General features: G+C 48.0%; 1 protein-coding gene across 27 annotated transcripts in view; it reads left to right on the top strand.

Moving 5' to 3' along the window:
- SLC2A9 (solute carrier family 2 member 9) overlaps positions 1–18,565 on the top strand; it is a 269,246-nt gene that overhangs the window by 98,476 nt on the left and 152,205 nt on the right. The window lies entirely within an intron of this gene.

Here is an 18,565-nt window from a genome sequence, read left to right as displayed (position 1 = left end):
GGCACTGGGCTGGGTATCATAGGGTACCTTCTCATTTCATCTTCCCAACAGCCTTGCTGGGGGACAGAGAGGGGACACAGAGTCACCCAGGGAGTCTCCCAGGGAATCTGGAAAAGCCAGAACAGACAAGATAAGACGCAGGTTCCCTCACTTCTGTGCAGTGTCTCACTACCACCTCTCTAGTTGTTCCCAGCCACAGAGATGAAGCCATCTGAAATTTCTGAGTGGCTTAGGTGCATGGCGGCCCTCCTTCCACTTCTTCTCCCTTCACTGACTTCCTCTGTCTTAATATTTACCTGCCAGGAGAGGAAAAGATGCAAGCACAGAGTGAACACCAGATCCCACCAGGCACTGGTCTGAGTGCTTCTTCACAATGACCCACAGGACCTTGCCAACAGTCCTTCGAGGGAGGAAGGAGTATACACTCATTTTACAGGGGAGAAAAATAAGGCTCGCAAAGGGGCTTGGGAGTTGTCTCATGTAGCTTTCTTTAAATGCCCTAAATGGGGGGATGCTGAGTCAGATTCAAATCTTGGCTTTCGGAATCAGAGACATCTCTCTACAGAGCCCTGAAAAGGCAAAATTATGTTGCCTAGAGATAGACAATGCAGAATGAACAATCACATTCTGATTCTTTTAGTTTTATAAAATGAGATGCAGTTGACAGCACCATGGTTAGTTAGGCATGTGAAGGTAACCAGCACTACCTTCACATCCAGCTCTGATGTCTGACCTTGAGCAATTTTTTAAACCTTTCTGAGCCCCAGAACCCTCATCTGTAAAAAGGAAATGACATAAACTTCCCTCATGGGGCCATTGTGAGGACTGAATTAGATGGTGCATATAAGGTTCGTAGTATTATCTGCTATCATTATTACTGAGAACTCTGTGCATTTTAGTTCTAAATTTCATCTATGTCCAAATCCAGGAAAAGACTTGAGAATTATATATACAATTTGTGCAACATCTTTTGAAATTCACACTACCTAAGTATTTTCTGAGTTAACAAATGGCATAATGAAATATTAACAATTACCTATATTTGTCTAGCAGTTTATGGATCAGATTCATTTTCTCATTTATAACATTTCTCTAAAGTGAAGTCAGAGAAGGTAATTGTTATTACCTTCATTTTGCAGATGAAGAAACTGAGGCTTACAGGGATGAATTCCGTTTCCCAAAGCTGTGGGTTTTGGTTTATAGAGATTTATAGAGGCTTTTGAAAATATGATGGAAATGATAGTGTTTTCTTCAATACAGTAACCATATACACAAAATTCTGCCTATGGCTTGGTGATAGACCTGGGACTTGAGCCCTCTTTTCTCCAGAGGACCCTGGTTAGTAACTCCCACCCCCAATCTTAAACCCGTTAGTAACCAAAGGATTGGAACCCAAAGAAGATTTTCCTCCAACACCCCTCGTGCACAGAGAGATACCAGGAAACGGAAGTAGTGGCTATTGTACCGGGTGACTTCCCATGTGGCCAGTGAGGAGAAAAACCACCTAAAAGTTTGGTTCAGATGGTTGTCAGATGGCAGAGTCTCTGGAGTAAAAAGAAGGTGACTAAGAGAGAGAACCAAGGGGATCTGATTCTAGATGCACCTGGGCTGTGCATTATTGGAAGAGGGTGAGGCCTCCAGCTCTGTCTCTACTAGCCTGGGAGGGTAACCCGCACCCCCTCTGGCTCTCTTGAGAAATGCTTCAATTAAGTACAGTTGGAATGAATAGTGCATGTCAATGCCAGACAGTGAAGAAGGTTTTAAAGTTTTATTTCATAGCACAGTAGGGAGTGAGGGAGAAGTACAGTTACAAAACGTGATAAATATTACATGTGCACTCTATAAAAAGAACAAAGATATTGGCCTTAAGTTGAAATAGCTTATTGAAATTTTCATCTGTACCTATAAAAGTGCTAATTTTACTCCAGACATTCAGCAAGCAATGGATATTTAGCATGTTGGGTGTTCTGCCAGGTGACAGGGTGAGACAGTGGTATGAGATGACATTCCTGCCCCCCAGGAGTGAGGGAGGGTGAAGGTCTAGTTAAGGGAGATGGACAGAAACACCCACTAATGGCTCATCTGTATTGAAAACTATTTCATTCTAAGCACTTCACATACATTAGCTCATTAAATCATCACAACAACCATAGAAAGTAGGTAATATTTTTATTCCCATTTTAAGACCTAAAAAAAAAAACCAAGGATGGGATAACTTGGCCAAGGACATAAAGCTAGCCAATGACAGCACCGAAATTTGAATTCTGACAGTCTGGCTCTGGAACTTATGAATGTAAACAAAATGCACTTTATTACTTAGCACCATGCTCGGCACTGTGGGAGATACCCCTTCTCCAGTCTGTTGATAATTTGGGGAAAAGAGGCCCTGTGTTAGTCAACTATTACTGTAATAATGCTGCATAACAAAACACCCAAAACACATTGGCTTTAGATAATAGCATGCCCCAGTTCACAAACCTATAGGTCAACAGTGTTGTTCTGTTAATCTTAGTAGGGCTTGACCTTAAAATCTTTCTTGGGGCCAGCTGAAGTTCACTCGCATGTCTGTTGGTCACCTGGCTGACCTAGGTTGGCCTTAGCTCTGTTCAATGCACCTCATCCCCAGCTGGCCAGCAGGGCACATTCTCATGGTAATCAGAGAGGAAATGGAAAACACAAGCGTTTTCTCTAAGCTTGAAATCTCCTAAAATCCTATTGGCCAAAGTAAGTCACATAGCTAACCCAAAGTCAGAGTGGAAGGGGCTTCAAAGTTTTAGGGTAGAGGACATAAACGTAGGGAGGCCACGAACTTGGGCCATCAACACAATCACTTCAGACAAGAGGCCCCTTTCGGGATGTTCCTATCCCCACTCCATCCCCACCCCCAGTTCATAGTGGCAGGGAATGAGTCCCAGGCCCTGGGTCTTATTTATTTATGCCACCCTTGTCAGTTTAGGAGAATCCCAGCCTCCAGTGCCTGCAATACACATGGTGCTTTGCTTCTGTGATCTCCAAAACTTTGCAGACAAGGAAATGACCACTCAGAGGCTGAGTAGCTTGCCTAAGATACCACAGATAGTTCATCACAGAAGCGAGATTCTAACTCAGTTTGTCTCATTCAAACCTGAATTCACTGAAGTGCAGGGTGCTGCCTTGAGCGTGTGTGTGACTCTTATTTATAAGACATAACGTGCACATAAAGACAACCATAATAGCAAAAGATCGGCCAGGCGCAGTGGCTCACGCCTGTAATCCCAGCACTTTGGGAGGCCGAGGTGGGCAGATCATGAGGTCAGGAGATCGAGACCATCCTGGCTAACACGGTGAAACCCTGTTTCTACTAAAAATAAAAAAAATTAGCCGGGCGTGTTGGCAGGCGCCTGTAGTCCCAGCTACTCTGGAGGCTGAGGCAAGAGAATGGCGTGAACCTGGGAGGCAGAGCTTACAGTGAGCCAAGATCACACCACTGCACTCCAGCCTGGGCAACAGAGTGAGACTCCATCTCAAAAAAAAAAAAAAAAAAATAGCAAAAGATCATTAATCCATGGGTTGGAGACACAGAAAATTTCTCCTGAAATATTATGACTTTATATATTAAGCCAGGGTTAAATTCCAGATTTGCATCCATTTCATCTAAGAACAGTTAGATAAGTAATCGTGTATCTGCTTAAAACTGAAAATGATATCCCAATGCCAATTTAATTCACTTATTTAACAAACAATTATAGATGATTGTAGCATTATGAAGGCATGCTTAGGACATAATGTTCGGGGGGGAACAAAGAGAACATAAAAAGAATCTGTGTGATCACAGAAGTGTGGACATCATAGATACGGGCAGGCCCAGGTAAATGCAGGCACAAACGGAGGCCGCTGATGCTTGAGGGAGCTGGGCTTTGTGCTTTGTAGGCTCTTGCTGAGGGAGGGGCAACAGAGGTAAACTCCTCGCTTACTCCCTCACCTGTGCACCAAACACACCCACCAACAACCAACGCAGAACCCAGGAAGGAGGCCACGGGGTGATCAGCTGGCTCTTCAGGCCCTGCTGTCTGTGGTGGCCTTACCTGGAGGCCCTCAGCTCACCTATACCCATCTGGAGATGGCTGAGGAGAGAAGAGGGGCTGTGTAACGTTCCATGCTTGCCCTTGTCAATGATAAAGATGTCCCCATCTCCTAAACCGGGCAGAGGGAGCTGGGCAGAGGGAGGTGGGGACGCACTGCCTCAGAGGTCTTCTCTCGGTCTCTGCTGGCAGTCACCTGCTCCCGGAAGACCAGCGCCCTCCTCCCTCACTGTTACTCTGTTTCATTTCTAAGATGTGAGCCAAGATAGGTGGCCTCTGAGAGTCTTCTCATTTTGGCCCATGGACTAGCTAAGCCCCAGGACTCCCTTTTCCCTGGCTAGAGAGAACTTGTTGGGACAGGGTGCTGAGTGAAGAAACAGAGGCCCACAGAGATAAATGTCTCCTACAGAAAACCCAAGGGCCAAAAAGGGGCGGGAAAACACAGCTCGGAAACCACCCTACCAAAGCCTCCAGCCCTCAGAGCACGAAGTCGTTCCTAGAAATTGCCCACACACTTCTTCGTTTTAAAGAACAAGCAACTCTTGCTGTAAGGACCAGCCTCACTTTAGATTTAGAGAATTGCTTAGGGTTTTGCTGAAGCAGAGGATGTTTTCTATGTTGTGCCTGTGATGGGTGCCATTCCCGTGCAACCTTTGAGATTGCTGGAGGTCTCTGTGCCCCTGAGAGCTGGGAGGAAGTTCTCAACGTACCTTCAATTCCACAGCACAGGGAAGGAAGTTCAACATTTCTTTACCATTCAGAGCATCCCTGTGCTTTGAGTCTCCTCTGCTTCTTGGGGACCAGTTCTGTTGCTCTTGGGATGACATGATAGTCCCAACTTGAAATTCAGTACCTTCTTTGGTTTTCTCAAAAACAACAGCACCCATGTACAACAAATCACCAGAGAGTTTAGAGACCATATCAAAGATTTCAGGGTGGTGGGGGAGTCACTCCATCCTGCCACTCACAGCCTCCTCTTTCCTCTCCCTGTCATCTCTGCTCATCATCCCCTCTGCTTTCTTAGATGCCCCTGGAGCCCCGATTTCTCCTCCCTCTAGCATGTCGAGCGCCTTCCCGCCCCTTCTGTAGCTGGAACCAGCACACATGCAGACATTCAGCAGACACCTGCTGCTCCAGACATTCATCTAAATATTTTTCTTAGCCATGACAGTGCTTGAGAAACATTCTGGTGTCAGCCGTGAAGTTGACACACTTTTCTTCCCCTCTTTGTACCTGGTAATGTTGCTGCTAGTATCATCATGCTCCCTGGCTCTCTGGAAGGCCTACTGTGTGTCACAGCATGTGGCCCAGGGTTAGCTGAGAGTTAGCAGAGCTGGGGTCCAGCCCCGTCTTCCCCATACCACAGCTGTGTGACTCAGGAAAGCTGCCCGTTATCTCAAAGGCTCAGTTTTCTTGCCTGTGAATGCTTATCTCTAGGGCCCAGAGAAATGATCATATCAGATCATGGATATCAGAGTGCTTTGTAATTCTCTTTTATAAAGGCATGAATCCTGTTCGTAAGGATTCTGCACCCCCGACCTGATCACCTCCCCAAAGGCCCCACCTCCTGATACCATCAGTTTGGGGATTCATTTTCAACTTTTTACTTCTGGGGGGCACAAACATTCCACCCATAGCAATGGTATTTTGGCAGAAGGGCTCCAATTTCTCGCAGGAGGCAGCGTAAGACAACTGCCCCATCTGGGGCCCTAGGGTGAAGAGCTGCCATGCTAATGAGGAAGGAGATTCATAGATGTGCCTCCCAGATGTGCCTGGTGTGTTCAGACACAACAGCTCCCAAAAATCCCTTAACCCATTCTTCACAGGCTGGGCATTTCATGAAATGGCAGCAGTGCTCATTTTAATGTTTTATGAGCCACAGAGCTTCCTGCAGGAAAGAGTGGAATGGAAACTGTTAAGCCCCCAGCGTGAGGTCCTGGGACCCATCAGGTTTGACTGGGTGCATCTGCAGGCGAGACGGTGCTGGGAGCATATGTTCAGGGGCACACGTCCTAAAACAACATGCAGCATCTCCTGGGCTTCCTCACCAATGACTTCTTGGACAGCAATCTTGTTGAGTTCTTCCACATAGCAGGTGCAGAGAGACTGTGGGATCTGAGTGTTGACACTGGGCAGGGGTCAGGAGTTCTGGTTTGGTCACAACACCTCTCTGGGCTGTGTTTCTCTACCTGCACCATCAGAAGTAGAACAAGATGCTCTCTAAGAACCAGCTCAGCTCCAGGTTCTGAGGTCAGAACCAGGGCACATAGGGGCAGGGACTAGTGTCAGGCCCAAGGCTCCTGGAAGCAGGTGTTCGGGCTCTGCCACCACCCATAGGCTCCCACAGCAGGTGGTTGTAAGTGTCATTGCTCCCCCTCCGAGGGACAGTGAGACAGCACAGAATGAGCACTAAGTGGGCTCAAAACCCCCCAGTAAGAAATAGGAACACTTTTACACTGTTGGTGGGAATGTAAATTAGTTCAACCATTGAGGAAGGCAGTGTGGTGATTCCTCAAGGATCTAGAACCAGAAATAAGATTTGACCCAGCAATCCCATTACTGGGCATATACCCAAAGGAATATAAATCATTGTACTGTAAAGACACATGCATATATATGTTTATTGCAGCACTGTTTACAATAGCAAAGACATGGAACCAATCCAAATGCCCATCAATGATAGACTGGATGAAGAAAATATGGTGCATATATACCATGGAATACTATGTAGCCATAAAAAGGAATTAGATCATATTCTTTGCAGGGACATGGATGAAGCTGAAAGCTATTGTCCTCAGCAAACTAACACAGGAACAGAAAACCAAACACCGCATGCTCTCACTCATAAGTGGGAGCTGAACAATGAGAACATATGGACACAGGGAGGGGAACAACACACACCAGGGCCTGTGGGCAGGGGCTGAGGGGAGGGAGAGCATTAGGACAAATAGCTAATGCATGCAGGACTTAAAACCTAGACGACAGGTTGATAGGTACAGCAAACCGCCATGGCAGATGTTTATTTATGTAACAAACCTGTACATTCTGCACATGTATCCTGGAACTTAAAGTAAAATAAAAATTAAAAAATTCCCCATGGTAAATCCAGCTCTGCTACTAACTGGCCATCATGCATCTCTCCAGATGACTGTTTCCTCATCTGCTCATGGCTAGGATAGTGCTGGATGGTACCAAAGGGCCTTTCCAGCAACAATCCCAGACCTCTGTCAGGATGGAAACTTCCTCCAAGAACAGTGAGGATTCTTGTTCTGCCATCAGACAGTGTCTTAGGGACATAGCTGTTTTGGGACACAAGAAGCAGGGCAAAGTAGTTTGAGAAAAAATGAAAAGCCATCTGTGGTCAAGAAAGTGTCCAGCTACCCAGGGAAGCATCTGCTCCAGTGGTCCCGATAGACACATAGTGTCTTCATCTACTTGGCATCATTTTTGTGCTTACCCAGGTGGAGTGGTACAGTGGGCAGACAAAGCTGTGAATTTTGCTTTGTACAAAGAGGGGATTTGATTGGGAGATCTCATGGCTTCCTTTGTTTGAGTTCCTCTTATATGCTAGTGTGGGAGGCAGAATAATGACCTCCACCCCACCCTGAAAGATGTCCACTTCCTTCTTCCCAGAACCTGTGAATATGTTAGGTTACATGATGAAGGAATTAGGGCCACAGATGGAATTAAGGTCACAGATGGAATTAAGGCTGCTCATCAGCTGACTTTGGAATGAGTAGTCCTGGACTACCAGGGTAAGCCCAATGCAATCACAAGGGTTCTTATAAGTGGAAAAAGGAGGCAAAGAGAGAGAGAACCAGAGAAGTGGCAATCTGAGAAGGAGTTGGCCCAAGGTTGCTGGCATTGAAGATGGAGGAATGGGACCAGGAGCCAAGGAGTGCAGGTGGACCATAGGAGCTGGAAAAGACAAGCAGGCGGATTCTCCCTAGAGCCTCCAGAAGGAACACAGCCCTGCAACACTCAATTTTAATCCAGTGACACCTGCTTCAGATTCTGACCTCCAGAACTGGAAGATGATAAATCTCCATTGTAATTTGCTGTAGCAGCAAGAGGAAGTGAATAGAGCTAGGTACATGGCAACCATTACCTTAGTCCTCACCCCCCTAAAGTCTACACATTTTCTACCTTTTGCTTTATAGATGAGAAGACTAAGACTCAGCGAGGAAATGTCAAGGTCACAGAGCTAGTGCATTGGTCAATGTTCCACCCAGGAAAGTGGAAATAATATTTCAGAGAGGCACTGGATGCCAGGAAATGGTTACAGAGGTGCCAGTAGGGCTGGGAGAGCAAAAGGAGTTGGGCAGAGTCACCCTGGAGCCCGTGCGTTCACCCTCCCTCCCCTTTCCAGGAGAAAGGGCTCAGTCCCAGCTCAGCCACTGGCCTGCCCAGTGGCCTCAAAGTGCTCACCTCTCTGCAAAATGAAAGAGTTGCATTGGCATTGGCTCACTTCTAATTTCTGAAGCCTAAAAGAAGCTCCTCTTTGCCGAGGCTGAGTTCAGCTACTCTCCTCCAGTCACATTCCATTTGTGTCAAACTTTGTCCTCCTTTTTGGGCCACACCATGCATATCCCAGATTCTGTGGTCTTACAGAGCCAGTTTTGATGCCAGGTGAGTTTGGGTTCAAGAACTGATCCCATCTCTTACTGACACTGCTGGAAGCATGACTGTGGCAGCAGGGCAGATGCTGGAGCTGCTCTCGTTAACGTGGCTGATGTTCTTGGCACAGATGACGTGGGAACCACAGCCTCTGAGGCTAACCAGGAGCCACAGCTGATGGTGCTGGAACTTTGACTAGCAGAAGAGGTCCTTTCTTCCTCTAACGATGCATCAGTGCCTCTCACTGCTGGAATCTAACAGGACTCTGCTAGCATGGGAGTAAGGAGATATCATTTATAGGGAGTAAGGACAGGCAGTTTGTAGGCTGCTAGCCCCCATGACACAGAAGAGTTCTAAAAGGGTGGTTGTGGGGCTGAGTCCCAATAGGGCAAATGCAACAAGTTCATAAGTAGTGGGATGCTGTCAGCACATTTCATCTCAGCACCTGTGCACTGGCTCCTTCGCCTGGAAGGCTCTTTCCCCAGATGTCTGCATGACCCACACCTCCCTCACTTCCTTTAGGTCTCTAGTGAAATAGCATCTTCTCAAAAACATCTCCCCCAGCTGCCATAGCTCAGTGTCCCCTCTTCTCACTGCCACTTACCTTGATTTATTTTTCTTTTTAGCACTCATTATGACCTGAAATGATATGTTTATAAATGAATTTGCTTAGTATCACTCCCCTCCATGAGAATGAAAAGCTCCATGCGAGGAGGGACACTTTTCCTATTTTACTTATTGCTGAAACCCCAGCACCTAGAGCAGTGCCTGGCATACAGTAGGCATTTACTTACTAAATAATTGTTGCATGAATGAAGAAAACCAAAGTATACCAAAGGCTGAGTACAGTCTGTAGCACGCTGCTGCTTAAAGCTCTGTAGTACATTCTTGGAGGTGTTTATAGCAATTGGATGGAGACTTACTTGCTGTGGGAACATGAAGCAGTTTCACCCAGAGGAGAAGCAGGCATGGAGAAAGAGAGAGAGAGTGCCATTTTTACAAGGGAAATATTTTAGATCATTGCTTTGGGCCTTCTGTGATGTTTCTGTCTTGATAGTTTCTACCTCTGTTCTGGAGAGGTTTCCTCATGAGAGAGATTTTCCAAGTCAGGCAAGGCATATATATATATATATATATATATATATATATATATAGAGAGAGAGAGAGAGAGAGAGAGAGAGAGAGAGAGAGAGAGAGAGAGAGTCATTCTCATTTCAGGTCTCCCTGCAGTCACTCTCCATGTGGCATCAAGCCCCACCAACTCAAGTGGTAGTGAGTCGTGTCTGTCTCTCACTAGAGACCTCCTGGGAGCAGAACCCGTTCCTTGTTCTTCCCTTAACACAGTGGATCTTTGCACGCCATCCCAGATGCACAGCAAGCTCTCACAAGCTGCCGGATAATGGCAATGAGCTGAATTTGGCTCCTTAGCCTCTCAGCCCTGAGATTTCTTGTGAGGTGTGTGGAAAGAAAGATCAGACAGATCTAGGTCAGAGCATGAACTCCTCACTATTACCTGGGCGAACACTGGCACATTTCCTCACCTCCCTGAAGCTGTGGACTGAAACACACTCGCCTTGAAGGGCTGTTTCTGTAAGACACCTCGCACAAAGCCTGGCATACAGTAGGTACACAATAAACCTTAGCCTCTTCTCCCCTGCTCAGTGTCTCTTGACTCCTCTTGAATAAAGTTGAATCTGTAACTGGGGCAAGATCTGATTATGTAACAGCTCCCTCTCCCAGCCCAGGAGTTTGCCATGCTACACAGAGGTTTTTTTCCCAGTTGGGAAATGCAATTTCTCATTCCTCTTTCAAGTTCTTTGGAGTTAGTGATTAGAACATGGCTAGGAATATGCATGAGGTATGAGCCACAGGAAGCCCTCTTACTTTCAAATTGAAGGGAGAATGTGGGGAACATGCATTCAGGGGGTAGGGCTTGGATGAACTATTTTTAAATGACTTGGAGAGTGAAGAGAATGAACTCCTCTGAGAGAGTTACCTTCCATAAACTCATGTAATTTTTAAATGGGCTGATAGATAGCAATTTCCCAGGCCATTTCCTCTCTCTCCAAGGGCAGCCAGTTTAAACTGGAGGTATCAGCTCTGTCCCCTCCCACCCCATGGGTGACATTGCCCCATCTCCTTCCAATCATCTACACAGCCTGCACACATCTGGGGTTCTGGGCTTGCTTTAGAGACCCTGTTGTTCATCTTCCTCTCCAGTGCCTGGGTCCCTTCCACAATATGATTGACAGGTGGTCACCTGGCTCCTCTTGCACACCTTCAGGGATGGGGAACTCACTGTGCAAAAAACACGTTCATCCTTGGACACATCCATCAGGCAGTTCTTCCTTGTGGTCCCACACATCAGAGCTCTTGCCTGGAGCCCTTGTTCTGACCTCAGAGCCAAGGAAAGCAAATCCAATCCAGGCATCTCCTCTTGGGAAACTCTTTTCTGCAGACTAGACATCTGCAAATATGAGTAGGTTCATTACCTTCATCCAGCATGCTGTGAGCACCTCTGCATTCTAGACCCAGAGGAAAACCAACCTCTTCCATGAAGCATCTGCCATGAGCCTTCCCCTAGTGCAAGCGCTGCCCCGAGCTGACAGGACTGTGAGGACAGGAGCCAGCACAGGTGTGGCCACGTACCAATCACAGCACACCCCCAACACTGCACTACAGGCAATTGCAAGTTTAGCACCAATTCTGTGACATGTTGGAAGCACAGAGAGGACTTTCTGGCTCTCCCTCCTACCCTCTTTTTCACCCTGGGCCTGTGAGGAGCTACATTTCCTTCCACCCGTCTTTAGGGGAAGACCTGGCATTTGCTAAACTTGCAACACAGATATCCGTCTTGCTCTGATGAAAGTGATGGTGAAGGGAAGGTTGGGTGAAAACCAGAGAGCATGATGAGTGTCTTTCAATTTCAGATGAGACTGAGAGAGAGAGGAGGAAAGGTGGAAGGGAGGAAGGAGAGGGGAGGGGAGAGAGACAGGCAGGATTTGCGGGGAGGACAGCATTCCAAAGCTCTGAAGGGTCTGATTCTAAGTTGCTGTCATGGTCTGAATGTTTGTGCTCCTCACCACCCCTAATTTGTATCTGGAAGCCCCAGCTCCCCAGAGTGATGGTCTTTGGAGGGGAGTCTTTGGGAGGGCTGGCTGAGGTCATGAGGGTGGTGCCTCCAGAGAAGTGAGAAGGCAGTGTCTGCAGCCAGGAAGAGGCTTTCACCAGGGAGCTGACTCTGCGGACACCCTGGTCTCGAACTTCTGGCCTCCAGGACTGTGAAGTCTGTTGTCTAAACCACCCATCTGTAGTATGATGTTATAGCAGCCCCAGCTGGCTGAGCTTCCAGGAAGCATTGCTGGACATTGGGAAAATGATACTTCTGGAGCCCCGGTGTGGGTTGTAATTCTCGCTCCTCCGCTCCCCTGCTGAATGACAGCACTAGCCCCTTCTAGTGTCCCCCTCACACCCTCCCTCTGCCCACTCTAATTTCAGCCTTGCTGCAGCAGACAGTCCATGTGGGCTCAGGTATGGGCCAATGTTTGCCCACCTTAAGCACAGCACGTGCCTCTCCAAATGCTCAGGCCCTCTCCATGGCCAGGAAGCTGCTCAGCCATCTGCAGCGCAGTGTAGACATTCAGGGAGTTAATACCCCTGGGGGCAGGAGCTGGCAGATAAATGCCCCATCTTCCCCTGTGGGACAGTTCTGGAGGTATTCCATGTGCTGCTCAGAAGCCCCGCAGAACTGATGCCCTTTGCCCATAGAAGTCTCCCCAAGATGCACCTTGGACTGCCTTGCTCTCCAGCCGGTAAACTTCCCACACCCAGCATGTGTCTCAGGCTCTGCTGCGAGGGCATCCAGTGTCACTGCCCATGTGCAAGCTTCATCTTCTCACCTGCAAAGTGGGAATACTGACTGTGTCTACTTCAGGGGATAGTTATACGAGAATTAAATGAATAAGGGCACATAAAACACAAGGGAACCCTTAGCAAGTGGTGACCAATGTTATTGCAACGTGGATAGCTCAAAAATGAACCTCATTAAACGATGTAGCTCCAAACAGAAGCAGGTGACAAGGCTGGCTGAACTTGATGAAGCGGCTTCAACCTGTAATCCCGTCCATCAGGAATGAAATGTTTTGGGAGTTGAAAATGCAGGCCAGTGAATTTCCATCTTCCTTAGTATCAACCACTGTCCTTGCTGAGTAGTAAGAAGTTGTTGCCTTTTTATATTTTAACAATAATCATTTAGCAAAACCTACTGAAACTTTTCATTCGGAATATGTTTAAACAGAAAGTTTTTTAAACTGCTTGCAAGTTTTTCTTTTTGAATGTGCAGATCCGAGAGTTTTTTGTTTGTTTGTTTGTTTGTTTGCTTTTGAGAAGGAGTCTTGCTCTGTCACCCAGGCGGGAGTGCAGTGATGCACTTTCGGCTCACTGCAACCTCCACCTCCCGGGTTCAAGCGATTCTCCTGCCTCAGCCTCCCGAGTAGCTGGGACAACAGGCACCCGCCACCACGCCCAGCTAATTTTTTTGTATTTTTAGTAGAGATGGGGTTTCACCACGTTGGCCAGGCTGGTCTCAAACTCCTGACCTCGGGTGATCTGCCTGCCTTGGCCTCCCAAAGTGCTGGGATTACAGGCGAAAGCCACTGCTCCCAGCTGAGATCCAAGAGTTTTTATTGGTGATCTGTGTATATAACTTTGTCTACCAAACCACATGACAGACACATCTCTTTTTATGGAACAGTTTCTTATAAAAGGTTGCTACTTTCTCACTCCTGTTAAAATGTCATCTTTATCCTGAAGCAACAGATTGACTACATCTTGAATTTGAAAATCTCTGTGAGGCAGCGTACTGTCAATGGTCATTGAGGCTAGCAGCAGGCTTGCACCTGAAATGGAGATAGCGGGTTCCACTATTGATTGTCCTGTCTTTCTTTGTGTGGGAGTTGTTAGTTTTACCTTTAATTTGTGGTTTCTTTTGTTTTGTTTTTTTTCTTGAGATGAGGTCTCACTGTGTTGCTGAGGCTGGCCTCGAACTCCTGGGCTCAAGAGGTCCTCCCACCTCAGCCTCCCAAAAAGATTAGTTGGAACTACATACAGGCATGTACTACTATGCTCAGCTTTTGGGGATTCTTTACAAGCCACCTGTATATTCATTGGGGTTAATTCAATTGAAACCAAATACTACCATTTCCAAATCTGCTAACTGGTAAATTGCACAAGTAAACAGCAATATGTCATTCAAAAGACAGATCGAAGGCACCCTGTCAGCTTCTCCACACGGTGGAGCCCTGATCCCCAGTCACATAGGCCATGTGAAGGCTCCAGGTTCGGTCCATAATAAAACGTTATAAAGCTATAAATAGGAGCTCCAATATCTCCTCCTACACCCCTTGTTACATACCCTACCTTGGATCCAACTGCTGTCGGTAATAAAAACACACTGAACCTAAGTTAAAAACCCAATGACTTCCTCCTCTTAAATTCCATTAGTCATTGAAAAATAAATGCTTTGATGAAATCTCCTATTTTTAGAAGCATGAGGCCTGCCCTGTGTAAGGGAGAACAAGCTCAGTGCCACTCTGGGCATGGAACTTATACGAGGCTATTGCCCTATGCTCCACGTGAAGTCCCTTTGCCTGTCTCATCCCAGGCCCCCGATCACAAGAGGGAAGAGGCCTCCGGGTTGTTCTGCGCTTTGCTCTAGCAGGAGGTGATAAAAGAGGTGACAAAGTGTGGCTGCTGCCATAACAAAGTGCCATGAGTTAGTGGCTTACAACAATAGAAATGGGGTTGGGCGTGGTGGCTCACGCCTGTAATCCCAGCACTTTGGGAGGCCAACGCGGGTGGATCACCTGAGGTCAGGAGTTCGAGACCAGCCTGACCAACATGGTGAAACCCCATCTCTACTAAATACAGGCGTGGTGGCGGATGCCTGTAATCTCAGCTACTTGGGAGGCTGAGGCAGAAGAATCACTTGAATCTGGGAGGCGGAGGTTGCAGTGAGTGGAGACTGCATCACTGAACTGCAGTCTGGGCAACAAGAACGGAACTCTGTAAAAAAAAAAAAAAAAAAATCGAACAACAGAAATGGATTCCCTCACAGTTCTGGAGGCCAGAAGTCCAAGGTCAAGGTGCCAGCAGGGCCATGCTCCCTCTTCTGGCTTCCGACGGGGACCAGCAGTCCTTGGTGCTCCCTGGCTTGCAGCTGCATCACTCCAACCTCTCCTCCGTGAACACAAGCTTGCCTTCCCTGTGTGTATCTATCTGTGTCTCTTCTCCTCTTGTAAGGACAAGAGTCATATTGGATCCAGAGTCCATCCTCCTACAGTATGACTTCCTCATAACTTACATATTAATTATATTGACAAAGGTCTTATTTCCAAGTAAGTTCACATTCACAGCTACCAGGGGTTAGGACTTCAGCATATGTTTATGAAGACACAATTCAACCCACAACAGAAGGTTATAGCATTTTGTACCCTCTGCCAGGCTAAAGATGAAAGGGAGAGGGAGAATGTAGCAAGTACCCCACAGTGATAGCATGTATATTCATAATGCTCCTTGCTCATCAAGAGCCAGATACCGTTCTGAGGACTTTGTGTGTGCCAACATCGAACACTGGTTACACCACCAATGCTATTATGTTTATTTTACAGACAAGGAAACTCAGGCATGGAAACATTAAATACTTCACCTGGTATCATACTAGATAGAAAATGGTGCAGCCAGGATTTGTTTGTGAGCACCCATTGGCCCCGAAACAATGTGTGTTTGCATTGGTGAGCACCAATTGGCCCAAGACAATGTGTGTTTGCATTGGTGAACACCCACTGGTCCTGAGACAATGTGTGTTTGCATTAGTGAGCACCCATTGGCCCTGAGACAATGTGAAGCCCAGGTTTCTCCAGCTCCAAGACCTGCCCTCTCCCACTGTACCACAACGTCCCTTAAGTGGCTCTTGCTCAGGGGGCACTCCCAGGTGTGGGCTCAGCAGGTGTACAGACACCTGGAGGGGTCTCCAGGCCAGGATGGCACCTGTGCTAACAGCGTGGCTCTCTGAGGACCCCAAGGGAGGCTGGCGGGCTCCATCTCATCTGCTTGCAGTCGTATGTGGGCCACCCCCAGATGCATCAGTGTCTGTCACTCTGCTGTGCTCTGAAGGTGTCTGAGGACCATGGGGAGCCTGCCATTGGAAAATCACACCATGCCCGGAACAGTAGGGAGAACACCGAACAGATACTGGCCCCCCTGCTGATGCAATTTGGTTGACATCTAGCATAATTTTCCTCTGTTCCTGTTTGCTCAGCCCTCCCCCGCTTCTGTGTTTATAACATGCTCCTTCTCCTTCCCTGTCACCTGAGTCTTGATTTTTACTATTTCATTCAAAACACATGGGTTGGATGTACATTCTATGCAAGGCTCAACAGAGAGGAAATAAAATAACAATAATTGTTTATTGAACACAAATTATGTGCCAACACTTAACACACATTGATTTTATTCCCCAAAACAACCTCATAGGTAGGTTTTATTATTTCTGTTTCATGGAAGAACAAGCATGGGGCGGGCAGAATAGGTAACTAGTCTGGGGTCTTTTAGCAGAGACAGGGCTGGGTGTGAAGCCCAGGTTGCTCCGACTCCAAGGCCCACCCCTTTCCACAGTAACACAGCATCCCTTAAATGGCCCCTGGTCAGGGGGCGCTCCCAGGGGTGGGCACAGCAGGTGTGCAGACAGAACGCCCCAGACAAGAGTGAAAGTGCACAAGAGAGACAGACACAGGTGCAAGAGCGACCCGGATGAGAGGGTAACAGTGATTAGCCATCATGGGGGCAGGGAAGGTCTCCAAAAGATGTAACTGCTGAGGGGATCCTCGGAAAAGGATGTCCTAGGCAGGCAACAAAGTGGCAGGGTGTTCTGGACACAAGGAACAGCACGAGCAGGGCACAGAGGCAAGGCCATGGGGGTATGTGGAATGGAGGACGAGTGCCTTTTCCAGGGCAGCAGCCAAGAGAGATGGGGGGAGCCTCCAGATGCCACAGGGACCGTGGGAGGAGGCTCTGCATGGCAGATGAGAATTTGGACTGGATCCTGCTGGCAAGGGCAAGACAGCACAGATTTGTGTGCAGAAGAGTGGCCCAATCATCTTCCTGGGGATTAGCCTGGGGATAATGAGCCCAGTGGGGAGAGGCTGAGGCCTGAACTAAGGCAGGCCTGGGCTCAGGCAGAGAGGAGCACATGGACTGTAGACGCTGAAGGGGCTTAGTCACTAGATCAGACAAATCAGACACGGAAGGCAGTGTCTGGGTTATGTGACCACAGGCATCCAGTTTAGGTGACTTTGTGATTGTTGTCAGGTGCCCCCAAAGCCTGAGTCAAGGTTTTGAAGATGGGAAGTTTATTTGAGAGGTGACTCGAGGAAGCACCACTTGCCCAGCTGGGAAATGGGACAGGGAAATGGAGGATGCAATTGAGGAAGCACCACTTCTCCAGCTGGGAAATGGGACAGGGAAGGAGAGGGTACAATTGAGGAAGCATCACTTCCCCAGCTGGGAAATGGCACAGGGAAGTGGAGGAGGCATTGAGGTTCAATAATGAGCAGGTGTCAGCTGTGGGCAACTGGGACCCCACCCACCCAGTCACCTCTGGGGGACAGCGTAGGACTCACTCAGGTGTCTGTGAGGAAGCTAGGTATACCTCTGTTAACATCAGCTTTGTCTTAACCGAGGGCTGCTCCTGGGGGTGTTAACTGCTGAGGGCTGAGCACACACCTGTGCCCAGGGAAAGCCGCAGGCGGAGAGGCACGGGTGCTGGGTGTAGGAAGCTGTCCATGTGCAGGAGAGACATGGGTGGCATGCAGTGCCGGCTACAGGGACACAAGGAACACGTCAGCAAATTGAAGCACCAGGTTCTGTCTTTGTTCCTTGTTGGTCATAAGATAATGAGGCTGGACCAGAGGATGGGACAATCTGGGTTGTTTTTCTTTTTTTAATCACCATATGCCCAGCTCCCAAGCCCCATGCCTGGCACCTTCAGGGGTCTCAGAACTATAGGTCTTGCCACCCCCTGTGACCTGTGGGCAGGAACTTCATCTCCGTGCAAACACTCAAGGCCCTCCTCGGCTTGCTCCTCCCTTGTCGTCCAGCCAGGAAAGCATCAGAGAAGGCTTCCTGGAGGTGTCTGAGATAAGGCTGAAAGAACGAGGCAAGTAGCCAGGTGCAGAAAGGTCAAAAGAACATTCCAGATTGAGGAAAGAGCCAGATATGCAGATGAATGTGTCAGGTTCCAGCCCCAACTGAGGCCCAAGGAGGGTGGATGGATGGACAGGTAGCTGAAAAAACAGACGGGGGGCCGTAAGCAGGTGAATATGGTTTTACTCAGCAGCTCTCTCATCAGCAGCTCTCATACACTGTCCGTTCTGTCTCAGCTGCTTGAGCCAGCTGCTCCCACGCTCAGCTGCACGGCCAGCTCTCCCTTGCCTTCAGGGTCAGCAGCTTAACTCTTTCTCTCTCTGGGCACAAGCGTGAGCCGTGCCATGCCGTGCTGTGCCGAACCCTGCCCTGGCTCCCCTCTGTCCATCTGCAAAATGGACGGCTCTGGTTATCCCTCTCCTCTCTTTCTCTGGGTGCCAGCAGCTGCACAAGAGTCATGTGGAGCCATGCCCAAGAGCCCCCGTACAGTGTCAGCAGGGCAGTTATACCTTCCCAAACAATAGTGGCTCCAAGCCAAGTATGAACTTACACAAACAGGTTATATAACAAGTGGAGTATGCACCTGTGCACCTAAACTCACTGAGTCATTCTGGCCTGGATGTTTGCCTCGGCCTATTCCTTGACCAAAGCACATCCATGTACCTTACAGAATGTCTCTTGCTTTT

Source organism: Homo sapiens, chromosome 4 (genome assembly GCF_000001405.40).
Source record: "Homo sapiens chromosome 4, GRCh38.p14 Primary Assembly".
Classification (NCBI taxonomy): Eukaryota; Metazoa; Chordata; class Mammalia; order Primates; family Hominidae; genus Homo; species Homo sapiens.
Note: the sequence above shows the minus strand (reverse complement) of the source record. Positions and strands in the feature narration are given on the sequence as shown.